This window comes from Homo sapiens, chromosome 2, assembly GCF_000001405.40.
Source record: "Homo sapiens chromosome 2, GRCh38.p14 Primary Assembly".
NCBI lineage: Eukaryota > Metazoa > Chordata > Mammalia > Primates > Hominidae > Homo > Homo sapiens.
In genome coordinates this window covers 17,780,556-17,807,472 of record NC_000002.12, presented here as the reverse complement: position 1 = coordinate 17,807,472, position 26,917 = coordinate 17,780,556, and the positions used below count along the sequence as shown (strand labels likewise).

The following is a 26,917-nucleotide window of genomic DNA, read 5'->3' as shown; positions in this document are numbered from 1 at the left end:
ACTTATTGCCCTGGTTAGCGAACAGGCCTGACTCTTATAGTTTTGAAGGAGTGCCGTGTGTGTATTTGTGTTTGTGTGTGCTCGTGTGTGTTGGGGGAAGGTGTTTGAGTGTTCTATTGGTTCTCCAGTGAAGCTGTATGTATGAAGCTGTTTCTGAGAAATAGTGTAATCTTTAGAGGCACCGCCTTCCTTGGCCATCCCCACAGTTATCTCAGCTATGATAGCAATAATAATAATAAATGTCTCTACTACTAAGTGCTACTAAGTGCTCCATTTAAATCTTATAAAAATATTATTTCTTTTCCTATCTTACTTTTTTTTTCCTTTTCTTTATTCATTTTTTTTTCTTTTTGAGACAAGGTCTGGTTCTATTGCCCAGGTTGGAGTGCAGTGGCACGATCTCGGCTCACTGCAACCTCCACCTCCTGGGGTCAAGCCATCCTCCCACCTCAACCTCCCAAGTAGCTGAAACTACAGGCATGTGACCCCATGCCCAGCTAATTTTTTTTCTTTTTCTTTTTTTTTTTTTTTTGTAGAGATGAGGTTTCACCATGTTGCCCAGGCTGGTCTCAAACTGATGAGCTCAAGTGATCCACCCACCTCAGCCTCCCAAAGTGTCGGGATTACAGGTGTGAACCACCATACCCAGCCTTCTGTTCCCACCTTAAATAAGAAAAAACTGAGGCTTATAGAAGTTAAAAAAAAAAAGTTACCCCAAGTGACCAGATTTGTAAGTGGAAGAGCACAATTTAGACCTAGGCAGTCTGACCCCAGGATCACAAGACTTCAGCGAGTGATGTTATGTTCCGAGAGAGGAGATAGGTGAACGAGGATTTTGGAAGGACCCCTCATTGTGAGGTTTGTAGTTGCTTTACATCTTTGGGTTTGCAGTTCCAGAATAGAAGGCAGCTGTCATTCCCTACCACTTCTAGTGCTTTCCCTGGCCTTAGGCCACATTATTATTATTATCAAGCAGCAGGTAAAGGTGATATTTAATTATATTTTCCTAGAATTAAACACTTTATATAGAACATTCTTTTAAAAATAAAATCCTTTTGTATATTAATATTGATAACAGTAATACACTTTCCATTTTTTGAGTACTTACAGCACGTACTCTATGCTAGGAGCTAAAAATAAGGGCCTTGCATACATTCACTCATGTCATCCTCCATACAGTCCAGTTAGGTAGGCATTATCATCATCTTACAAGGGAAGAAGCAAAGCTCAGATGCTAAGGACCTTGCCCAAGGTCATGGGACACAGCTTCTTTCCAAACCATAGCCACACCCATCGGCTCTGCAGCTGCCACACCGAGAGCCAGCTGCAGTACTCTCGCCCATCCCTGCCCTCACTGCTTGTCTCTGAGACACTCAGACCCTGCTGGCTCTGTGCACCCTGATTTCAGTAGCTGTATTTTGCTGTGGGGGCTCCTGCCCACCCTGAGCTCTACACACTCCCCTGACTTTTGTACACTCCATAGTACCTTCTTATAGCCACAGCCATACAGAACTCCACTGGCCAGCCCAGCCCTGGCCTTCCAGTCATGGGACAGAGCCTGTGTGTGTACAGTTAGACATAAGTTGGGCCAGGAGTGGTGGCTCATGCCTGTGATCCCAGCACTTTGGGAGGCCGAGATGCGTGGACCACTGAAGGTCAGGAGCTCAAGACCAGCCTGGCCAAGATGGTGAAATTCCGTCTCTACTAAAAATGCAAAAATTAGCCAGGGTGTAGTGGCCAGCGCCTGTAATCTCAGCTACTTGGGAGGCCGAGGCAGGAGAATCTCTTTAACATGGGAGGCGGAGGATGCAGTAAGCCGAGATCATGCCACTGCACTCTGCCTGGGCAACAGAGTGAGACTCTGTCTCAAAAAAAAAAAAAAAAAAAAAAAAGTTAAAAACCTGGGCCCTTTCACACTGCCACACAGTCTTGGCACTCAGCTAACATTCACCAGAAAATAGATAATTCTTGTGGGGCAAAGGGAATATAGGTGTGTGTGTATGTGTGAAGAAAACAACTAAGTGAAATGTGACATTTTCCTGTGTCCTTGAGTTAGCAAAGAGAACTGAAAGTGGTGCTCTCCTGCATGGATAGCGGCCTGGAGCTGCTGTGCTGTCAAGCCTGTGACAGTTTCAGCAAAGCCTGTGTGAGGCTCTTGGGACTGTGACTTTCATGTGACTGCCATTATGCTAAGGAAATAATAAAAGTAGTTGGGCCTCGTGATTTGACTTTATGGCTCATTGTAAAGCCAAAGAGTAACATTTTGGTTTTGATCCATTTAATAATAAATTGTAGAGCATCATGCAATGTGTGAACAGATGATTTTCACAGGCTGGGTATTTAACCCTTGGGCAGGACAAAGCAACAGACAAATAAACGGCAACAAAATAATTAAACTTAATTCACAGGAGAAGTGAGAAACAGAAGAGTTCTAAACTGTAGAAATCCTTTAGAACAGAGTCTTGTGGACTTCTCCAGCCTGACCAGAAGTTTTGTTTTTCTTCATCCCCTTCACTAGGTGGTCATGAGGAAAAGCAGCATTCTCCCTCCCAAACACCTGGGATGCTCCCTTTCTCAAGCACTTCCACTGTCTGGGCTCAGGACCCTGTCTCATCAGCTCGCTCCACAGTCAAATGCCTTGTGAATTTTCTTTGCCAAATGAATGTGCACAGAAGCCAAGGCAGCGTGGTTTACTCTAAAAAGAATCCATTTGGGGGCAGCCATGTCCCTGCGGGGTCCCTGGCACCTGAATATAAACCTCTTTCTCTTTTGAAAATATTACTAAATATGTTAATTTGGGAACAAAATGCAGTCACCATGTCCACCCACAATGGGCAGTTATGCAGAAGATAGGAGGGTGGCAGAGAGGGGACTGCAAAGTGTGGGTGAAGAAACATAAGAGAAGAGGAAGAGGGTAATAAAAAGAGGAACAGAAGCTCATTCTCCCTGGAGAGCATCAGGGCAGGATGCTGTGATTATTCTTATTGCAAGGAAATATGAGCAGCTTGTCTTGATTCGGCAATCTCAGAATGTCAACATTTATCCCCAAATAGCCAAGTTTTCTGTCACCAACTCGGGAGGGGTAGCAGCCTTGAGTGCTTCTCCATGGATTCTTCAGCAACTGGCCAGCAAGATTTAAATGAAATCTCATGTGTTACATTTACACCTACTCCCCCTTTTAAGTTGGATTCTTTATTACCACTGGTATTTGGGGTGGCATTTTAATACCCATGTCAAAAAGTTGAAAGCAATTTGCACGGAGTTTGTTCTCCAAGGATTCTCCCCTGTTCTTACCAGCCTGAGAAGAAGAAAAGTGCAACATTACTTCTTCATTTTTCTTCAGTGATGACAAAAGTCCTGTTATTAAAGTGAATACTAAAAATGGTTGTCTGCATAATGAACCTGCTTATTTTCACAAACTTTAGCCTTTGCTTTTGAGTGTTTTCAATTCAGATTTCCATACTTGCCAGTTAACTGACACCTAAAAAGCAGATATAAGGCAAAGAAGAAATTGGGGGAAATATTTTTCAGTTTTTTGATACGGGATAGTCAAACATGACAGGTAAAACATTATTGCTATGAAGAACTCACACAGATAAGAAAAATACAAGCTTGCCACTGGGAAAATGAACAAGGGCATAAATAAACAGCTCACAGAAAAAGAAATACAAGTGGCTCATAAACATAGAAGAAAATGTTCACCTCGGTAGTAATCAAAGACATGTAAATGGAAATGACAAGGCAAGGCCGTTTTTCACCTCCCAAATTGGCAAAGTTGGCAAGAGGATGAGGAAGTGGTCCTTCCCACACATTGCTTGTGGGAGAGTCAGTTGGTTCAATTTTTAAAGTAACTTAAAGTCCAAAATTCATCTTAGATTCAAAAGTACTTTTGACACAAGGACTTTATACAACTAAACAAAGTTACAGTCAAATATTTAGGATAAAAAATATTCGCCATAGTCTTACAGTAAAAAATTAGAAACAAATATCTAATAGCAAAGAGGTAATTGCATACATTATTTCCTATTCATATGATGAAATATTATATAGTTGATAAAGAAATCATTATGAATAACATTTAATATACAAAGCTTAATTTAATATTAAGGCTTTTAAGTAGGACATATAAAATTAATACTTTGATCCAATTGAAAATTCTTTCTCATAGAAATATGACTAAGTGTTAAGAGTGGTTACTTCTGGTAACAGGAATTGAGAGTATTTTTTTCTTCATTCATCTTACTTTCTTCTAGTGGTTAGGAGCCAGAGTTCCTAGGCTCCAACCTTGACTTCTCTGCTTACTTAACTAAGTGATTATAAGCAGGTAACTTCATTTCTTAATGTCTCAGTTCCTCTACTTGAAATAAAGGGATAATAACAACAGCTACTTTACAAGATTGTTGTAAAGATCAATATACATAAAGAAATGTCATACTACTGCCCTCAGACATTGTCAGTACTCAATTGTTGCTATCGTCTTGACAGTTGTCAGTATTTTCTAAATTAAAAAAGATTACTGATTTAAAAATTAGAATTTCAAAACCAGTGAATGGTCAAGGCTGGCCTGATTAGGTCCATGTGCAAATGAAAAAGATTCAGGAATCACAGGCGCTCTCAAGTTGAATCAAAGCATATGGGTAGTACACTTATTTAAATATTTAAAAAAAAAAAAAAAGCAGGCAGGAAGGAAGGGAGGGAGGGAGGAGCTTCAGGTGGAAGTGCTCCTGTAAAGATGACTGGGACATTGACAGGTAGGATATAAGGTTTGCTGAGACCTTGTTGGAGTTCCGTGTTTCATTTGCAAAGAGTAGAAAGAAGTGGAGAAGAGACTCAGAGGAGGACAACAAGAAAGATGAAAGAGAGGAAATGTTGTTTCATGAAAAAAAGTTCCAGTCTTTTCCATCCCAGAAGTGTAGCTACTGAGCAGTTGAAGAACTATGCTCAGCCCCTTGTGGACTGAGTGGTTACCCTCCATCTCCAGCAGGTATGAAGCCCACGGATAAGCCTCTCGCTGTAGGGAATCATAGAGTTCACATTCACAGCATTCCCACACTTCCCTGCTATCAAGAATCACCTGGGGAGAGGGAAAGCATATTTTTAAAAAGACGGTTCCGCCGGGTGCAGTGGCTCATGGCTGTAATTCCAGCACTTTGGGAGGCCGAGGCGTGTGGATCACGAGGTCAGGAGTTCAAGACCACCCTAGGCAAGATGGTGAAATCCCGTTTCTACTAAAAATAAAAAAAATAGCCAGGTGGGGTGGCGGGTGCCTATAATCCCAGCTACTCGGGAGGCTGAGGCAGAGAATTGCTTGAACCCAAGAGGCGGAGGTTGCAGTGAGCCGAGATATTGCCACTGCACTCCAGCCTGGGAGACAGAGCGAGACTCCATCTCAAAAAAAAAAAAAAGAGGATTCCTAGGCTCCTCTCCTGGAGATTCTGACTTGGTAAAGTCAGAGCTGGGGCCTGGTAGTGTAACCACCCAAGGGTTCACCTTGCCCACTGCCTAGACAGAGCCCATTTATCAAGACAGGGGAATTGCAATAGAGAAAGAGTAATGCACACAGAACCAGCAGTGCGGGAGACCAGAGTTTTATTATCACTCAAATCAGTCTCCTCAGAATTCAGGGATCAGAGTTGTTACGGATAATTTGGTGGGTAGGGGCCAGTGAGTCAGGAGTACTGATCGGTTGGGTGGGAGATGAAGTCAGAGAGAGTCGAAGCTGTCCTCTTGCGCTCAGTCAGTTCCTGGGTAGGGGCCACAGATCAGATGAGCCAGTTTATCAATCTGGGTGGTGCCAGCTGATCCATCAAGTGCAGGGTCTACAAAATATCTCAAGTACTAATTTTAGGTCTTACAATAGCGATATTATTCTCGGGACCAATTTGGGGAGGGTCGGAAACTTGTAGCCTCCAGCTGCATGACTCCTAAACCATAATTTCGAATCTTTTGGCTAACTTTTTGGTCCTACAAAGGCAGTCTAGTCCCCAGTCAAGAAAGGGATTTGTTTCAGGAAAGGAGTAGTATTGTCTTTGTTTCAAAGTTAAACTATAAACTAAGTTCCTCCCAAAGTTAGTTTGGCCTATGTCCAGGAATGAACAAGGACAGCTTGGAGATTAGAAGCAAGATGGAGTTGAGTTGGTTAGGTCAGATCTCTTTCACTGTAATAATTTTGCAACAGCAGTTTTAATAGTCTCTAGTGAAGAACTGATGACTTGGACAGAACAAAGGCCTCCCAGGATACAAGAGCACTGAGCTGGGTGGCAGGATGCCAACAGCACCCCCAGGGCTGGCCACTTTGTCTAGATTGTTAAACAGAGATAAAACCACAGATACAGGGAGCAGGACCAGGTGATTGTTACACTTTTATAACTCCTTGACTTTTCATACTACTAAAATCTCTCCTGATAAATTCTCTGCCTGCCATTTAAGACTATTTCTGGTCTGGCCTATCCCAACTCTTCCAACTTTATGTCTTCCTGGTCCCCAGGCCCATTCTCTGCCTGATTCCAGGATAATGCTACACTGTCCATATACCACATTTTCTTTTCTTGGCCTTTGCCTGGCTTGTGTCCCTCACTCAACTGTCCCTTCCTCTCCCTTGACCTCTCAGATTCTACCACTCCCGCTAAGCCAGGGCCAACTGTTTTCTCCAGAAACACTCTGCCTCCTCCAGTTCTCAGTGACCAATTATCTGGATGCCCACAGAAGCTTACTGTAGTGTCCTATATTTTCTAGCAATTTTTTCACTTTAAACATAGAAACAAGGACCTTAATAATTAATAGTACAAGAATGCTGTCATATAGTTTGTAAAAGATTATCATATCGATTACATCTTTGGAGCATCACAACAGTCTCATGAGGTGGGTAATGGTTGTTATCTCTGGAGAGTTCAGAAAACCAAAGTTCAAAGAGGGAGGTTTTTTGTGCTTGCTTATGGTAAAACTACCAGCAAGTGGCAGCATTAAAAGACCGTACCACTGGTAAAAGGCATAGGGGGTTCCCTAAAACTCGAAACAGAGGAGTTTAATGAATGGCTGTCTTTGTTGTCTAGACCCGAGGGAGGGACAAGACAGTGGACTTTAAAGAACAGCTGCACGTGGAGCTGTGACTGTCATCCACACACTCAGATAAATGGTTGGCTCATTATTGCAGCTGCTGCTGGCTTTAGGGAGCTGGACAGCTGTTGCCAGGAGATGGATTCAAACAGAACAGAGAAAACGGAATCCTGTGATAATGACTGTGCCTGTATGTATGGACACGATGTTCTTTCTTCTCATAGCTCAAAATGTTCTAAAGATAAAATCTAATGATTTCTTATAGGAAGGCTAGGCTTGGTGGGTACAAGTAAGAAAGCCAAGCAGAGAGAAGGTAAGTGTCTCAACTCGCCTTTCCAGGGCATTCTCAAAAATGAAGACTTTTGGGGGGCTACACGGCCCTTTCAATAATTTGTGAGAGCATTTGTGATAGGCTCTCCAGAAGCGTATTCCTGGCAGAGCTGGGCAACACTAGCAGTGTCTGTGCTAAGGACAGACGAAAGGATCAGAGACAATGCCCTCACTCCCCTCCCCTCCCTTCTCCTCTCCTCCCTTCCCTACAATACGTACCTCATGGAGCTTAGCATTTTGTTCTCATGCTGTAGGGACTGTGCCTGCTGATGACTCCTTGGCCTGTTTTCTCATTGATATGTTTGTTATTCATCTTGTCACTAAAGCTTCCTGGTCCTTCTCCACCTTTCCCTTTCCTCCAGTCTGGACTTTGCCTTCTCCACCTCCTTGGAAGACAGGCTGCTCATCCCATTGTGGTGTCTCGGCTGGTGTATGTTTTCTGCCTAGGGTGAGTGGTGCCATCCTACTGCCTTTCCAAATCCTAATTGTTTTTTCTGATCTACTCTGACTCCCAGCAGTCACCACTTCGTGGTCTTGATGGCCTCTGTTGTGCTTAGAGTTGGTGCTGCACAGCCCAACACAGGATTTCCTCCTATGGGAAAGTCCCCTCAATTAGACTAGAAGCAGGGACAGGAAGGAGGACCTGCCCTTCTGCTGATCACCCTCAGCTGCCCAGCACTGGCTCTGTATGTGTGTGTATTCAGCACCCACTTGCTTGAGAATCTTTCTTTCTCTACTTTTTTAAACTCACTTTTCTGATTTAAATTATCCTGTTTTATGATATGAACTTATAGTTATGAAATAGTTACGAAGTTACGTGGAGTACTTTCCATGCATTTTGATTAGTACTTTATCTCACAGCTTAATGGACAGCACGAGGAGGTAGGGACTGACGTTACCCATGTTTTACAGTGGAAGAACCTGAGGCTTAAAGAGGTAAGATAACTTGCTGCAGGTCACACGCTGGTGGTCCAAATGCCTTAACTGGTTGCTACAATGCCATGCATAAACCAAGTTAAGAGTTGTAGCATAATGAACGTTTCAAATGAATTGGTGGGCTGGCATTTGGGAAACAGAGTGTTCCTCTGCAAAGGCTGGGCTCCTGCCACCATATCCTGGGGCTTCATCTGGGAATGGATATGGTCCAACCCAGGGTTTGGTCCTCCTTAGGTGTTGAGGTGGAAAGCATTACACTGCTGGTGACAACCAGCTTGGGGGGTTCCAAACTCTAGTCCTTGCAGCTCTGTATGCTGATTATTTGACCTCAGAGGATCTAGGAAACAGGGCTGAAACTCAGGTTTTCTCAGGAGATGTCTGTTTCCCGAAAAGCTACCTCAGAGAAACTTACATCTGTGGGCACTATCTTGGAGGCAATTCTGTGTTGGCGAAAGTGATCGTCCTTTTTCCTAATTGAACCAATTATGGTTGAATGATGAGGTAAGCTAATCAATGAACTCTCCTGGGAACCCTCGGCCAGAGTGTGAAATGGCACAACTTGTTTTCAGAAGACATCTTTGCTGAAAATACATTCTGGCTGCAGCTGTTTTTTAGAGATTTAAGTGATCACATTACATCGTAATCAAATCCTTTGGCAGCCAGTATTCTCCAGGTGGCTCAAGGCAACCTGCATAAAGCAGGCAGAACATGTGGCTCAGAGCCACCATTACCTGTGCCTACAGCATCCAGTCCTGCCATGCAGGATGAAGGAGGTAGCAGGCACCTGCCTCTTTGGCCTGATTGGCATTTTCTGCTCCCCGCAGTGTCCTGTGCTGAACATCTTCCCACTCAACTCCTCTCATAGGAAGCCTGCTCTGGATGGCTTTGCCCTCCATTTTTTTATTATTATTATTTTGAGACAGAGTCTCGCTCTATCACCCAGGCTGTAGTGCAGTGGCATGGTCTCGGCTCACTGCAACCTCCGTCTCCCAGGTTCAAGCAGTTCTTGTGTCTCAGCCTCCTGAGTAGTTGGGACTACAGGCATGTGCCACCACCGCCCGGCTAATTTTTGTATTTTTAATAGAGACAGGCTTTCACCATGTTGGCCAGGCTGGTCTCGAACTCCTGACCTCAGGTGATCCATCCTCCTCAGCCTCCCAAAGTGCTGGGATTACAGGCATGAGCCACCATGCCCAGACAGCTTCACCCTCCTTAAAACTGATGTATCTCTTCCCTACTTTTATATCCTAAGATCCTGAGCTTTAAAATAGCTAGCCAAACGAAAACACCAATGGAGACTCTTTGGAAGGGACTGTGCTCAGTCTGAGGACCCAGAGCCAAGTCACAGACATGACCTCAAAAGCCAGTACTGTGCTCTTCCACATGGCATCCACTGGCCACGTGTGGTGATTTAACATGTGAAATGAAGTCTCAAGGCTGAGATGTGATGCGAGTGTATAATACACACTAGATCTCAAAAACTTAGTAGAAATAAAAAATGTAAAATATCATAAAAAGATTTTAAAACTACATAAAAAGAAAAAAAATTTCAAAAGAAATAAAGACAACAAAACAAAAACATAAAATATCTCACTCATGATTTTTGTATTGATTACATGTTGAAATAACATTTTGAAATATCGTGTTAAATCGAATATAGTATGAAATTAATTTCACCTGTTTATTTTTTTTTTAAAGTGTGGCTAACAGAAAAGTAAAGATATATGGTTGGCATTATATTTCTTTTTTTATTATACTTTAAGTTCTAGGGTACATGTGCACAACGTGCAGGTTTGTTACATATGTATACACGTGCCATGTTGGTGTGCTGCACCCATTAACTCATGATTTACATTAGGTATATCTCCTAATGCTATCCCTCCCCCTTTCCCCCACCCCACGACAGGCCCCGGTGTGTGATGTTCCCCTTCCTGTGTCCAAGTGTTCTCACTGTTCAATTCCCACCTATGAGTGAGAACATGCAGTGTTTGGTTTTTTGTCCTTGCGATAGTTTGCTGAGAATGATGGTTTCCAGCTTCATCCATGTCCCTACAAAGGACATGAACTCATCCTTTTTTTGTTAAATGGCTGCATAGTATTCCATGGTGTACATGTGCCACATTTTCTTAATCCAGTCTATCATTGATGGACATTTGGGTTGGTTCCAAGTCTTTGCTATTGTGAATAGTGCCACAATAAACATACGTGTGCATGTGTCTTTATAGCAGCATGATTTATAATCCTTTGGGTATATACTCAGTAATGGGATGGCTGGGTCAAATGGTATTTCTAGTTCTAGATCCTTGAGGAATCAGTTGGCATTATATTTCTATTCCACAATGGTGGTGGATAAATGTTATATGAGGAGAGGGGTGATGCTATAAAGTATTATAAAGACACTGAAAATATGCTGTGGGAGGAGAAAGAAAGGAGAAATAATTTCACATGGGAGACCCTGAAAAATTTCCTGGAAAAAATGGCATCAGAACTGGGTCTTGACATATAGGATTGTAGGAAAAAGGCCTGGAGGCCTTTTACCCGGATGTAGGATGGGGATTTTGACCTCAGCCGGCTGGAGGACCCAAACAGATTCTGTGATGCTATTGTCCTCCAATTGGATTTGGTTTCCAAATCCAATTGCCCATCATTACCTGGTATAGATTCCTGCGTTTGTCTCAGATCTCATGAGCCAAGAGTCACTGGGGTGAGGCCCAGACATCCTCGTCCAGAGTTCTTCAAGCAATTGTCTTATAGCTCATTTGATCCCAGTCTGGGAAACTGTGTTTGGAAATGCTGGGTGCAAATGGTCATCTTTGGGCCTTGAGAGGCCAGCCTCAGTGGGCTTTCCATAATCCACAGCTGCAGGTAGCCATGGTACCTCCTGTCCTTGTATGTTCTTTGAGGAGAAGCACTGAGCAGGAAGCACCTGAAATGCAGAGCTTGGGAAAAAACAGCTCATGCCGTGGGCTCCTAGGTGGGTCAGCCATTTCCCCTGTGGAGGCAGAACAAGAAGGACTTTGTAGGCTTGTAGTTTCCTCAGTTACCACCTAAGTTACTTGTTAAATGGCCCTTCCTGCATACAAAGTGACAGGCCTCTGCCAGGAGTACTGATTCCCCACCTCCAAAAAAAAAAAAAAAAAAAAAAGTGAAAGAAAAAATTCGCCATGGGCGAATATTTGATCACTCTGGACAGTGATCAAAAGCTTTTTATACTTTCAAAAGCTTTTTATAACTACAGTATTAAAAGGAGGAAGAAAGAATGACAGAGAGGGGGACAGACGGGGAGAGAGTTTGTTATCCTGACTGCGTGTGGTGAGTGAGTCTATACTCAAAAAACACCATTATTTTCTTCTCCTTTTCTTCTGCGGCTCTCTACATCTCTCTCCCATCTACAGCAGAGTTTCTGTAAGTGTGGTCCAAAGACCATTGAATCCGAATCCAGTGGGGTGGAACCCAGTAATTTGTTTTTATAACAGAGTCTTCAGATGAGTTCTAGGAAGGCTACATTTGAGAGCAGTTGCTTTAGAGGTTTATGATCCCCGGGATTACTTACCTGGCACCTGATCCAGTACAGGCTGTTCCTTCCCAAGGTGTTTCCCTTTTCAATGCTGGTCAAACTCATCGTCCTACCCTCTCTCATTTCTGCCCTGTGTGCAGCCTTGGAGCTCAATTTGAGTTGTGCAATCACTCAGTGCCATTCTTACTGCGGCAGAGGGTACCTAGCTTCTTCGCAGGAGCAGAAACCCCATTATGTGCTGGAGGCACACAGGGAACCAGACAAGGTCCCTGTGCCAGGGAGCTCACTGTCTAGAAGAGAAGTCAGCGTGAGAGAGACCAGGAATGAGCTTCAGGCATGCAACAAAAATGGTGTATGTGCCCACATAAATTTTACTGGTGAGAAGATATGGAGATACAGGTCTAGATCTATAGGTCTAGGATATATAGTTCTATAGATATAGGATCTATAGATATGGGAAGATTTAGAGATCTAGATCTAAAAAGGCTGAGCTACAGAAGGGATTAATAATGAAGATGAGTGCTTCCTAATAGGAGTGCTTGCTCCCCAATTGGCATGCTAGCAAAATTATGTCAGGTAAGCATCTTTAGTAACTGTCATTAGCAAGTAAACTATATGCTCCAGAATGGGGAATATCAGGATGCAGAAAAATTTCCTTAGGTAGGAGGTCAAGGTGTCCCCCAAGGCACAACTCAAATGCCATTCGGGAACAGTCTGGTCTCACAATAGTTATATGTGGGTATGTATCCTTTCAGAGAAGAATGAGGTTAGTATGGACAGACAGTCAAGAAAAATGCTATAATAGAAATGGATTGTGAGTTGTACCATAAAGAACAATTGGCCAGGGCTTGCTGGGTAAGATTTGAAGCCACAGGCCCAGCATTACCTCCCACCCCTGTTGTTCTGAATGCTGGAACCCCAGCTGCATGGTTGACAGAGAATCACTGAGAAAACAGCTTTCTTAGGAGCAGCCCAATCCACACCAAAATCTATGCTGGGTGCTAAGGAGGGAAGATTTCTGCATCCGTAGCCATTCTTCCTAGAGAGAAACTTTCCCAAGAGCTTCCTCTCTGAGGTTGGGGTCGATCTGGAGAGAGCAGAAAGGATGCCTTGAGCTCCCTGTATGACCCCCAGCTGAGCACAATCCAGAAGTTTTTACAAGAAATGATGGTGGGGGGTGGGAAGGACCATTCCTTCTCTGGACAAGAGGTGGGGTGGGGAGTGGGGGCGGGGAGACTGCGGCTGGAGCTTTGAACCTGATCTCTCAACCTCGACAGGACAACTCAGCAGCCAGCAGCGGCTTTCTTATGGCTCCCAATTTGGCACTTCTAATGCCCCCTCTTTGAGGGTGGGGGATGGACTTTCCAAGGAGGAAAGAAACTTGCAGAATCTTCTAACTGGTAACACACACTCAGAATGTTTTAGGAGAGGCTGTAGTCAGAGGCTGTAGCCCCCATTTTTCAGGGGCCCTCTTGGTCAAAGTATGTATGACTCAGGCTGTGAATGCCAGATGAATTTAGGTTACAGGCATGGCCTCACTAAGAGTGCAAAATGATTTGCTCTTCTGTGCAGGAGCAAATTTCACAGGCCAGTCAGTCACCAGCCAGCATATTGGTTGTGCGCCTTTTCATGCCCACCGCACGGTGTGGAAGAGGGTCTGTGCTCTCTGCGGTTACCTGAGGTCCTGGTCTTGCCAGCTATCACTGTAGAGTCAGTTATGTCTCTGAGTCAGGGCTCATCTGGAGCACAAGGATAGTAACTAATTTTACCTCACTGGGTTGTAGTGAAGATTAAATGAGATAAAGCACCCGGCACATTGAAATATTTGTTAATGTGACTTGTTTCCTTCTTTTACTTTAACATAGCAAAGCTGCAGTATTTTAGTAAATCTGATACCAGTTATTTTGCACTAGTCATTCTCTGAAACTCAGTTTTAGATGGCTTTCTGGGTTCCCTCCAGCTGCAAAAATATAAGTATCTGAGACTCTGAGTTTGTTTCCAATAGGCTTTCTCTGGGTTGGAGAGACTGTTCCACAAAGCCCAGGAGGCTGCAGATGACAGTACCAAACCAAGACATGCAGCTGTCCGGCTGCAGTAGTCTGTGTGAAAGATGAGTAGAAAGAGAGGAAAAAGTCAGAGCTCAAGAAGAGCTCTAAAAGAAAAGACAGCTGCAAGTTTGTCCTCGAGTAAATCAAATTGTGACGTTTATTGGGCTATTTCCAGAATAACACCTGCAAGAAAACTGGAGTGCAGGATTACCTTTCCAAGAAGGATTTAGTTACGATAGCCTACAATAACCAGTATTGTCTAATGGAGTCAGTGTGGCTTAATGAAAAGGTTATAGGTTTGGCGGTGCACAGACCTAGGTTTTAGTTCTGTCGCTCCTACTTTTTATTAGTGATTTGGAGCAGGTTATTTAACCTCCATGCCTCATTTTCCTCCTCACTTAAAAAAAGGTAAATAATATGAACCTTGCAGGGTGATTGTGCGGGTTAGGAAGAAAAGTACTTGATATACAGCTGATATTCAATAAATAGGAGCTATATGGCTAGGAGCACATTACACCAGGGCACATATCCTAGAGGCCTCTGGACCTGGGACCATCATTTCTGAAGCTTATAGCTTGTTCAGGGTAGAGAACTGAGGGGGGTTTGGGAGGAGGCAGCAAGTCTGGGGTGGGTAGGTAGAGAGCAGAAAAGAGATCAAAAGGCCTATAAAGATCTGTCAAACTTTAAAATGCAAATCCTGTTGTGGCTCAGTAGAGACCAAATCTTTCATTATCACCTCTCTGGGAAGGGCTTGAGGGGTGGGGGGGTGGGAAGGTTAATTAGTCTTTCCCTTCATGGAGTGTTTTGGTTTCGTGTGGTGTGGTTTTGTGGCCAAGCCTGGGTATGTGATAAATCTTTTATTCAACTCTGCCCTGGAAACATGGGTAGAGTTAAGAAACTAACAGCATATGGTTTTCTTTATGAGTAGACCATGAGTTCCTCAAGGAAAGGAAACTATCTAACCCTTGTGATAGCTCCTACAGTTTGCAAGATTCTTGGCATAGAGTATTTGCTTCCTGAATGGATGGATGGGGTGGTGGATGGATGAATGTTAATTCTGAGCATAGTAAGTCATCTTCACTGGCTGGCAATTTAGTTCTCAGGGGTCTCCTTGCTCTATCCTTCACTGGGAGCCATGATAGGAGCAATCCTCATGATGGTGGCCCTCTGGGAAACTCTGGGATGGTGCAGTCTCTTCCAATGGCCAAGGGTCTGTGCAGTCCAATCACTTGGGCAGATTATGCTGCATGGCAGCTTTGCCTTACTGCTGGCCCTAAAGAGGTAGCCTCCTAGGTCCCACAGTTGGCCATTTATTTCTGGAGAGAGCGTGGAATTCCAGGAAAGTCCCACAGAGGAGACCTTCAAGAGTAAGTGGGCCAATAATTATCTGGCACTCACTGTGTGCCAGTCTCGATCCATCTTGCCCCTACCACAACCATGGCCAGAGTGAGAAAGAAGAAACCTCACTGCCTTGCTTTCTCTTTCCTCCTTTCCTCTTCTCTTGCCCGCGTTTTCTCATAAAACTATACTTGTAAGTAAAGAGTGAGGCTTTTTTCCAGAAAAAAGTATCTAGCAAATGTCCCTCTCTGGAATGCCCTAAAACACATGTCATTGATGACTCTTTCCTGGATAAACTCACTGATTCTCTAAGTCTCATCCAAGACCTGACAGTCTTACCCTCCCCCTAACTGGCATCCACCACAAAAGGCTCCTATCAAGTTTCTCAGCTCTAGGAGGCCCTATAAGGACCACCTGTATCTTCACTGACCACTCTCTTCTACATTCTGGTGCCCTCTGATACATTTCCCTTCACTCAGCACTTACTGTATTTGTTATCTCAAGAATAAATGAGTCTGGCATCACAACTAACTTATAAACATCTTGAAGGGAGGAAGCAGATGTTTTCCCATGTACTTGGCAGTATGCCTGTCCCAGGACTGAATCCATCTTAAGAATTCAATAAAAAATTGCAGCATGTTCGTGGTCAAAGCCTGGGCTTTGTCTTTACATAGATTTGGGTTGAAAAGCTAACTTGATTTATTCATTGAACAAGTATGTATTAAATGCATACTGCATATTAGGCACTGTTCAAAGCTCTGGGAATACAACAAAGAGTAAAGCAAAGTTTATTCTCTTGTTATGTTACTCTAGTGATAGGAGACAAAGAAAAAAATCTAATAAGTTGTAAAGAAAATAATACAGGGTGAGAGGCAAGTGTGAAGGAGTGGTGGTAGGAGTGGGAGGTGGCTACTTAGCTAACGTGCTCACAAAAGTACTAGCCAAGAGGCTGAGACCTCGGTGGTGATAAACAGCTTACCATCCAGAGGTCTGTGGGAAGTCCACACAGAGTGGGCAGCAATGGCAAGAGCCAGAGTGTACAGTAAGCTTGGTATGTTTAAGGAAAGAAAGCAAGCCATGTGCCAAGGGCCAGGGGAGCAAGGGGAAGCGACGGAGGATGAGGTGAGGGAGACAGGTAGCCACAGCTGCTGAGGAGGCTGGGATTTACAGAGGGTGATAAGAAGCCATGGGACGCTTTTACACAGGGGGTGGTTAGTATGTGATTTGCGTTTTCAATAGATTAATCTTGCTGATATGTGCACAACAGAAAGGCACGAGCATTTTGAAGCAGGAAGATCAACTGGAAGGCTGTTTAGCAGTTCCTGCAAGAAAGATGGTACTTTGGAGTAGCAATGCTACCTCCAAAGGTAACTGGGAGATTTGTGTACTAAGTGTGACCTCAGGCATGTTGCTTTCCTTCCCTGGACTGCTTTCAAGAGAATAAAAAATGTACTTAACATGATCAGCACGGGGCCTGGCTCATTGCAGATACTGTGCAAAGGTGATTCAACTAAGACATGAACACTAAAAAGGAGACACTCTTAACTCATGCACCACTAAGAACTTGCAGAGGACTCATCCCTGTGGTTAGAGCTTTGGAGAGTAAGGAAATGACTGGAATTCTGCCTGTCCCCCTCATCTTCATTCTGGGGGTTTTCATATGAAAACCCCCCAGCCTCCTACAATGTTGACTTTAATAGTTATTTAATTAACTTATTTATTTATATATTTATTTATTTTTGAGACGGAGTTTCGCTCTTGTTGCCCAGGCTGGAGTGCAATGGCGCGATCTCGGCTCACCGCAACCTCTGCCTCCCGGGTTCAAGGGCTTCTCCTGCCTCAGCCTCCCAAGTAGCTGGGATTACAGGCATGTGCCACCATGCCCGGCTAATTTTTTGTATTTTTAGTAGAGACTGGGTTTCTCCATGTTGGTCAGGCTGGTTTGGAACTCCCAACCTCAGGTGATCCGCCTGCCTCAGCCTCCCAAAGTGGTGGGATTACAGGTGGGAGCCACCGCGCCTGGCCTAATAGTTATTTTTTTAATTCTGAAAATTAAAATAAATTCTGTGACAATTTCCTGAGTGTTCACAAGACAGTTTTTCTGGGATTCTGAACTACTCTTATTTAGTAGTCAGTTTTCTAGAAATCATATCAGTAGAGTTTATTGCATCTCTCTGATGAATGGGTTCTTTAAAAGTGCCACAGACTCAGAGAGATGTGGGGTTCACAGAAAAAGCCTTAACTGTTTCCAAAGAAACAAAGAGTGGGGAGAAAATGATGGATGGAGCTTTGGAGTTAGAGTAGCTCTGAGTTAAAATCTTGGTCCTGCTGTTTACTAGATGTTGACCTTGGATAAGTTCCTTAACTTCTCTTAGCCTCAGATGCAAATAGGGGATAACAGTGCCTGCCTCTCAGTATTTTTTTTTTTTTTTGAGACTGAGTCTCGTTCTATCACCCAGGCTAGAGTGCTGTGGCATGATCTTGGCTCACTGCAACCTTCACCTCCCAGGTTCAAGTGATTCTCCTGCCTCAGCCTCCCGAGTAGCTGGGATTACAGTCACCTGCCATCACGCCCAGCAAATTTTTGTATTTTCAGTAGAGACGGGGTTTCACCATTTTGGCCAGGCTGGTCTTGAACTCCTGACCTCAAGTGATCCGCCCGCCTCAGCCTCCCAAAGTCCTGAGATTACAGGCATGAGCCACCGCACTCGGCCCTCTCAGTTTTTGTGGGGCGTAGATGAGGAATTTTAAGAATTAGATGTGTGGCACATAAACATTTAACATATGTCATTTGTCTTTTCCCAAGATTCACTAATGCTTTGCATAACAGACTTTTGAAACTGTATAAGCTCACTTATATTCATTAGTGCCTAATGAACTTTGTCTCTTTTTTCTTCATATGTAGACAATTCCCTTCTCAAAAAATTATAGAGTATAATGGAACATATTTTAAAGACATCAGAAATGCTGAATTTATATATTGATACGTGTTTCATATATATTGATATGCGTCCTCAAATGGGATGGAGAGTGAAGACAGAAGGAAGTGAAGCCAGGGGAGGTTTGCCCAGTGTAGCTAGTCTCTATCAGAACCAAGACACTTCCTCAGACCAGTGCCTCTCAGGTTTAAGAAAATGTCCTTCGGTTTGTTTCAGAAGATGTAGACCTGATTGTACCCAGTCCTTTGACACCTCCCATAGAACTATCCCAGCTGTGAAGTTGTGGGGCCTTCACAGCGCCTGGCCTAGAGACGTCTGTGTTTGGACAATTATGTAAAATAAGGCTTCTGGCATCTGGCATCTGGCATTCACAGTTAGCATTTTCAGTTTAATAAAAACGTAAATGTTAGCAATAATTACATCAGAGCAGTTACTGCAACCAGTATTGCTTGAAAACTAAAAGGCAAAGGGACTTGTAGTCTCCCCTCACCTGGGTGTTTCATAAATCACTTTCTGACTTTCAGATTGAAAGCATTTATTAAAGAACAGCCGTTTCTGATTTCACTCACAGAAAGGCAGGTATCAGTTGGGTGGTAGATGAAGATTTAACTTATGATGACGCAAACACTATAGAATCTTTTCATTAGGTCTTTGATCAGAGAATTCTAAATATACAAGCAGTTTTTACCATTTGGGGAGGTTATTTTCCTTTTTGGGTCTTGGAATAGAATAATGCTAAGGAAGCTCAGACACTTAATCCTTATTAAAGTTCTTCTTTGATGCTTACAAAAGGAATTCTTCTAAACATTAGCAAAATATTCATTCTGCCCACAGAAGGGTCAGCCTACTTTGCTGATAACTCTGCCCTCCATTGCCAAACAGGCAACTTAGTGAATTTATCTGGCCTGGGGCTAACTAAACTATCCATTTTGAAATCATCAAAAAGAGTCCCACTGTTTTGGACTATTGCTGGGGCTGACTCTGCAGCATGTCAGTTTATAGGCAATGTGGCAAGTTCCTGAAAGAGGCTAATGCAAGCTGTTAGCTGAGCCTGATAAAAGCTTTGCTTGGTTAAGAAGGTGATAAACATTGCCACGTTAATATATAGATGAAAGGAGGCTGCCTTCAGTAATACTATTTAAGCTGTTTTACCCTAAGTGCTACCAGCAGAACAGGAACAGCAGTTGATTTAGACTCTTCACCTTCAGAAAGCAAGCATCTTGGCAGGGCGTCTTGAAGTGGCTAAAGGCGACTAGGTATCAAGCTAATCCACCCGGTTAGATTTGGTCTCTCTCCACAGAGAAATTTAGAACTAAGACCCTGACTGAAATCACCATCAGTCAATCAGCACCCATTCACTGAACACTTTCTTTTTTCTTTTGTTTAGATGGAGTTTCGCTCTTCTTGCCCAGGCTAGAGTGCAATGGCACGGTCTCAGCTCACTGCAACCTCCGCCTCCCGGGTTCAAGTGATTCTCTTGTCTCAGCCTCCCAAGTAGGTGGGATTACAGGTACCCATCACCACACCCGGCTAATTTTTGTATTTTTTGTAGAGATGGGATTTCACCATGTTGGCCAGGTTGGTCTCGAACTCCTGACCTCAGGCAATCTGCCCATCTCGGCCTCCCAAACTGCTGATGTGAGCCCCCACACCCGGCCTCACTGGACACTTTCTGTGCCAATCCCTCTGCCGGGTGCTATAAATTCAGAAGTACAATATAGTTTCTCTGCCCTGAGGATGTTCATAGTCTGGTGTGGGAAACAAAAAATGTAACCCAACACAAAACTATAGACAGATAATATTTTAGAAGTCTATGGGGACTAGCAGCGATCCAGAGAAGCAACAGAAGACTTTCTTAGAGAAGACCACGTTTACACTGAATCTCGATGGGTAAGAGTTGGTGAGGCAGAAGAGTCAAACCCTGTGTAGGCATCTGGGGGAAGTGAACAGAAATAAGACTTGATTCCTGTGCTCAGAGATCTTAGTCTTATCTGAGGGAGAGATAGAGGCATTTTTAAGTAAGGAATATTGTGCCTCCTACACGGCAGGCATCAGCTAATATTTGTGGAACGAATGAATGAATGTGATAAATACTCTGATGAATGTATGGGTAATTTCTTTGGGGACACGTATAGAGCAAATAATTCTGCTTGGGATTATAAAGTTATGACATGTGAGCTGGTCCTTAATAGATGAGGTTTATCTAGCCAATAAGGAAGCAGCAAGCATTTCAGGCAGAGACATCCGTGCAGGGAATAACAAATGGTCTTAGGTGGCTAGAGCCAAGGTTCATGACTATGAATGCATGAAGCTGAAGAGACAAGTTGGGGCCAGGCTGCCTCAGCCTTGTGAGCCATGCTGAAGTACTAAGGCCAGATTCCGCAAGGTTAAGTGCAGCCACTGCTGGTACAGGCTCCATGGGTGGGGCGTTGTGGAGAATTGTCATTCATGCATCTAGTAGTTACTGTGTCAAACACTGTTCTAGAATTCTGTGAACAGAAAGGACTTAGTCCCTGCCCTCATCAAGTCTGCATTCTAGTTTGGGAAACAATGAAAAAAAAAACCCTGAACTCAACATTTATAATGTCAGGAGATAAAAAGATTAGGACTCTCTGAGGTGATATTTGAGTCAAGAACTGAATGATGTATGGAAACATAAATACAGAGAATTGTTTTCACTCATGAATTAGGAGATCTGAGTTCTAGTCCCAGCTTTAACTTTTTCTAGTTGGGTGACCTGGAAAAATTTTAAACTCACTGGGCCTCCAGCTGGCTGTTGTACATAGAAAAGCCTAAGAACCTTGCTCAAAGTGGGTGCTCCAAAAATGTGGTAGGTGATTAGATGAATATTAGTTACCACATTATATTTAAGCAAGCACAATTTTTTTCCAGTAGCTCAAATGCCACGTTAGGATCCCTTGTGTGATGCTAATCTAGAGTTTCCTTCTTCTGAAAACACATCTCCCACCCTCACACTGCCCCCTACTAGTGTTACTGTGTCCACATTTTTACCAAAAGGCAGTGCTTGGCTGCATTCAGTTTGAATCCAAAATCTGATAGTGCTCTTTCCAAATGATGGTATCGGACACAGCTACAATTTACTGAGTCCCTAGAATGTGTCAATGGTGGCAGTGACTTCACAGATATCAAAACCTTATAGGATGCCATTGATCACTGTATCTCCAGGGCCCAGCACAATGCCTGTCACATAAACATTTGAATAAATGAGTCTCAGAAAAGTTAGAAAATGTCTCCAGGGTCACAGAGAAAATCTGTTAGCAGAAAAGAATCTGAAGCTAGGTATGCCTGACAAGATGGCTCAAGCCATGCTACCCAAAAGGAAAAAGTAGAGTCCTCATTATAAAATCTAGAAGACGGAGATTGTATATTTTTTTTTAATTTAAATTTTAATTTTTTTTAGACACTTTTTCGCCCATCCTGGAGTGAAGTGCAGTGGCACTATCTCAGCTCACTGCAACCTCTGCCTCCCAGGTTCAAGCGATTCTCCTGCCTCAGCTTCCCGAGTAGCTGGGATTACAGGTGCACGCCACCAGGCCCCACTGATTTTTGTATTTTTAGTAGAGATGGGGTTTCACCATGTTGGCCAGGCTGGTCTTGAACTCCTGGCCTCAAGCAATCCACCCGCCTCAGCCTCCCAGCGTGCTGGGATTACAGGCACGGCCACCATGTGTGGCCAGATAGAGATTTTATATGGAAAAAAATCTAAAAGAAAAACCGCCAAGGACTTAAGATTGATTACACAAAGCCCAAAGCAGTTAGGCCAGAGCAGGGCCTTAGCATGGAGCCATCAGAAAGAAACCAATTACAGGATCCTAGCAGCTGGAGGCAGATCTTTGGCAGAGTATTTCAAAGGGAAGCAAGGCATCCTCAACAAGACAATGAAGTGATGAGCAAATACGTAAGCAGCAACTTAAAAGATTTGATTTACAAGTGATAACATGACCACATCAAGGAACAAGAACATGGAATGCTTTAAAAAGAATTGGTATAACCTGGACAATGAAAACAGAGAAATCCTTGAGGAGGAGGAACTATAATTTTACACTTATGCCTATATTAGGTATATCAGCAGTCCCCAACCTTTCTGGCACCGAGGACCACTTTCGTGGAAAACAGTTTTTCCACGGATGATGAGGGGGAGATGGCTGTGGGATGAAGCTGTTCCACCTTATATCATCAGGCATTAGATTCTCAGTAGGAGTGCACAAACTAGATCCTCGCATGCGTAGTTCACAATAGGGTTCATGCTCCTATGAGACTCTAATGCCACCGCTGATCTGACAGGAGGCAGAGCTCAGGCGGTAATTCTCGCTTGCATGCCGCTCAACACCTGCTGTGCAGGCCGGTTCCTGACAGGTGATGGACTGGTACCTGTCCATAGCCCAGGGGTTGGGGACTCCTGAGCTATATAGCAAAATGAACTCAGACTGGCCACTCCCAACTAATTTTGTTATTTTCATCTCATACAATCTCAAGAATGCCTCTAGATATTTTATTTACCTGGTCTAGATGGTCCTGAACTATCACAGCCACGACTGAACAAATCAGAATAAGCAGAACCTTGGAAAATGTTTTAGCAACGACTTTTTTCTCTCTGAATATTCAAAACATTGCAATACAGTCCTTAAAGAGTTGAGATGATACAAGGTTTGTAAATAATCTAGTTGAATGCTTAGCACACAATAGCTAATACACATTAGTTTCTCCCCTTCCTCATTCTGGAACTGGGATTGTTTCCACTTTTAGGCTATTATGAATAACGCTGCTATGGACATTTGTGCACAGGTTTTTATGTGGATATAAGTTTTCATTTATCTTGGGTATATACCTGGGAGAGGAATTGCTGGATCATATCGTAACTCTACATTTAACCATTTGAAGAACTACCAGACTTTTTCCAAAGTGGCTGCCCCATTTTACATTCCTACCAGCATGTTATGAGAATTTCAATTTCTCCACATCCTCATCAATACTAGTTATTATCTTTTTGATTGTAGACATTGGGTGTCTTGTGGTTTTGATTTGCATTTTCCTGATGAGTAATAGTACTGAAAATTTTTAAATGTGCTTCTTGGTCATTTGTATTTCTTCTTTGCAGAAAAGCCTGTTGAGCTATTTTGCCCATTTCAAAGTTGTCTTTTTATAATTGAGTTACGAGTTCTTTATATACCACCAAGATACAAGTCCCTTATCACATTTATGATTTGCAAATATTTTCTCCCATTCTGTAAGCTGTCTTTTCACTTTCTTGATGGTGTCATTTCAAACAACAGTTTTTAGTTTTGATGAAGTCCAGTTTGTGTATTCTCTTTTGTTGCCTATGCTTTGGGTATATTTAAGAAATCCTTGCCTAATCCAAAGTCACAAAGATTTACGTCTATGTTTTCTTCTAAGAGTTTTATAGCTTTAGCTTACATTTAGGTATTTGATCCATCTTAAGTTACTTCTTAAATATCATGTGAAGTAGGAATCAAATGTCACTCTTTTTTACATAGATATCCAATAGATCCAGAAGACAGTTGGTTCAAAGACTGTTTCCTTTTCCCATTGAATTGTCTTGGCACTCTGGTTTAAAATCAACTGACCATAAACGTGAAGGCTTTTTTTCTGAATTCTCAATTCTATGCCATTGATCTATATTGACCTATATGTCTACCTTTATACCAGTACAACACATTCATTACTGTAGTTCTGTATACTTAAAATCAGGAAGGGTGGGTCATTCAAACTCTTTCAAGATTCTTCCTAATATTCTGTGTTCCTGAAATTTCCATATGAATTTTAGAATCAGCAAAGAAACCAGCTGGAATTAATGGGAATTACATTTAACCTGTAGATCAGTTTGGGGAGTATGGTCATCTTATGTCTTCTGATTCATGAACATGGAATGTATTTCCATTTATTTAGAGGTGTACAGAAATACAATTGAGGCTGAGTATGGTGATTCACACCTGTAATCCCAGCACTCTGGGAGGCCAAGATGGGTGGATCGCTTGAGGCCAGGAGTTCATGACTAGCCTGACCAACAAGGGAAAATCCCATCTCTACTAAAAATACTAAAAATTAGCCAGGCATGGTGGCACACACCTGTAATCCCTGCTACTCAGGTGGCTGAGGCATGTGAATTGCGTGAACCTGGGAGGCAGAGGTTGCAGTGAGCCAAGATGGCGCCACTACACCCCAGTCTCGACAAGAGTGAGACTCTGTCTCAAAAAAAAACAAACAAACAAAAACAAAATGCAATGATCATTGCACATTGGTCTTGTATTCTACGACCTGGATGAACTCGCTTTATCAGTTTTAATAGTTTTCTAGTGGATTTCTTAGAATTTTTGATGCATACAATCTTGTCATCTGCAGACACCATTTTCCTTTTCAATCTGGATGCCTCTCTAGAATTTTTGAGTGCGACCTAAATTAATGCATGACTTAATATTTGGTGGTATTAAAGTCAATATTGCATAGATTCAAAACAAAAGGGGGAAAAGTGCTATAGAAGGAAAAAATAGAAAAATAAAAAAATTAGCAGGCAAGAAAACTGATTCCCACAGGATTATTAGTTAGCTACGTGATCCTGGGCTAGTTTCTAATCCTTTTGGTTATACATTTGATTTTCCAAATCTTTTTCCACCCGATATACCTGTGAACTTCTGGGGATACATAAGGAGTTACTTTGCTCAGTTTATTCAGCCATTACGAGCATGATTTTTACTAAACATACTGACATCTTCTCTCCTTTTCTATTTTTGCCCCTCAAAAGAGACTAAGACACCAAAAGTGGAAGAGCACACTAAAGGTATCTTCAAACTGAGGGAGAATATAACTCTTAGGAAAAAGAGTTATAATGGAACACCTTGCATGGCCTTCCAAAGTGGAAGAGCACACTAAAGGTATCTTCACACTGAGGGAGAAAATAGCTTTTAGGAAAGCGAGTTATAACGGAAGACCTTGCAAGGCCTTAAAAGAATGAAGAGAAGTATAAAGAATTATCCTCTTGGGAACAAGCTGGAATATAAATACTTTAGAGGCTTGTGGAAGAAAAAGTAAAAATGAACAATCAGATGAAGTATTTACTCTGTCAAGTACTATACCAATATTTTAAAACTACAATTAAGGAATAGTAAGGACATAATGACATACATTATCAGAAGTTTTCAATACAGAGGATCTTTTAAAACCAGAGTTTTAGGTGACTTTTTAAAAATTACAACTTTGATTAAAATGGCAAGTGTTTCATGACACAGAGAACATTAAAATTTTTACCACACATGAACTAGATACCTTCCCTCTGTCTCTGCTATTGCTGATAGTACTAAAATAGTTAAGTTATACCTAAGTGTTTTAAATTTCAAGTGCTTTGGAATCTTAGTTTTAATCTCTGGCGTAAAGGAAGAGGGCTATCCAAACAAGTACCAGAGTTGTTTTCTTTCTTATGACATTGTAGAGAACTCAGAGAACTTTTTGTTGAATCTGGGAAACAGCTTTCTTCATTTTCAGCTGTTTCATAAGATCTGACACACTGTTCAGTTTCTTTAATATGTATCTTAGGGCTACTCAACTTGTTATGGCCACTTTCTTTGAAATGGGATGAATTATGCTTTTGAGAACTGTGCTTCATTCTTTGAGTTGTGTACTTAGCTTTCCCAAACACTGGGGCACTTTGTTCATCAGAGGAATGTCTGTCAAGGCAAACACTCTTCTTCATTAAAATTTTCCGAGTGGTTTGCATATCAACTTTTCTACTATGATCTAAAGCAGTATTTGGTGGTCTAACATTGCAGGTCTTTACCACTGTGTTACTGACAGAATAAGGGACAGAAGTATTGACTTTATAGTCTTCTTGAAGCAGCTGGTCTCCTTTTAGAATTTTAGAGTCTCTGGATTCATTTTGCAAGGGAATTCCTGGAAGATCCTTTGAAAGATGTGATGTACAATCAGAACCACTGTTAGCAATACAAGATTCTTTTACACTAAGTATGGACAAAGTTTTCAGGTTGACATCTGGTTGTAGATTATCCTGAGGATATGATAATTTTGTAAATATTCGTTCCTTTAAAGGCAAATCCTGAAGACATAAATCAGTAATGCCAGAAAGTAGATGCTCTTCAGGACTAATCCCATCAGAATCCTCATCCAACACTTTCTTTATGTTTGCAGTGTACCTTTCTGATTCACAGGACAGTTGTTCTGGGATATTTTCAAAGCCATCAGGGATGGCTGATAGCTCTGATTCAACTTCTGATTTTAAATCATGAGAAAAAGTATTCCTTTGAATAGCTGGAGAATTACTAAAAGAAGTACCTTCCCAGTCAATAGTGCTCAAGTGTAGATCAGCAATCACGGATATATTATGAGATGAGGTATTGGGTTGACTAGATTCTGAAATTAGAGACTTACTGACAGCTTTAATTTGCTGTATAGCCAAAGGTCTTAGAGAAGACATGAACTGTTCTTGTGCATTCAAACATGGAGTATTTTTAGGTAAAAGCAAGCTATTCAATGAGGCAGAAATAGATTCCTGTGGTAATGTAGGATCAGGGGAAATCCCCGAATTTAACTTGGAATTCTGCTTATGAAAGATTTCACATGTGGGTTTTAAAGTCATGTGTGACTGAAAGCTCATTACTTCATCTGGTTCTGGCAAATTGTTTTCTTTAGGCTTAATACCTGAAAAGAAAAAAAATACATATAATCAACATTTATTTTCTTTGCTTTAACTTGGGTAAAAAATA

The 26,917-nt window shown here is 42.3% G+C and overlaps 1 protein-coding gene and 1 long non-coding RNA gene across 16 annotated transcripts in view, besides 1 other annotated feature; one reads left to right on the top strand and one right to left on the bottom strand.

Annotated features, from left to right (window-relative positions):
- The first annotated feature begins 7,158 nt into the window (after positions 1–7,158).
- The window catches only part of LOC105373449 (uncharacterized), a 35,858-nt gene continuing 16,099 nt past the window's right edge, over positions 7,159–26,917 (top strand). The window contains exons 1-4 of one of the 3 annotated variants that reach the window (XR_939761.3): positions 7,159–7,369; positions 7,749–7,834; positions 8,248–8,322; positions 9,575–9,901. This is a non-coding gene — a long non-coding RNA (uncharacterized LOC105373449). Of the gene's footprint in view, positions 7,370–7,712; positions 7,835–8,247; positions 8,323–9,574; positions 9,902–26,917 lie in introns of those variants that run through there. The other 2 variants (XR_939760.3, XR_939762.3) reach the window with 2 other exon arrangements.
- Positions 15,617–15,911: a silencer, noted in NCBI's record as "tiled region #14936; HepG2 Repressive non-DNase unmatched - State 22:ReprW, and K562 Repressive non-DNase unmatched - State 22:ReprW". NCBI's record gives its function as "represses a minimal TATA promoter and a strong SV40 promoter by Sharpr-MPRA in HepG2 and K562 cells {active_cell/tissue: HepG2 | K562}" and the evidence as "EXISTENCE:reporter gene assay evidence [ECO:0000049][PMID:27701403]".
- Positions 18,527–26,917, bottom strand: part of GEN1 (GEN1 Holliday junction 5' flap endonuclease) — a 35,669-nt gene continuing 27,278 nt past the window's right edge. For all 13 annotated transcript variants that reach the window (XM_011532822.3, XM_011532820.3, NM_182625.5 and 10 more), the window contains one exon: positions 18,527–26,852. In XM_011532822.3, the coding sequence (XP_011531124.1) occupies positions 25,534–26,852 (1,319 nt within the window). In that variant the 3' untranslated portion in view covers positions 18,527–25,533. The remainder of the gene's footprint in view (positions 26,853–26,917) is intronic.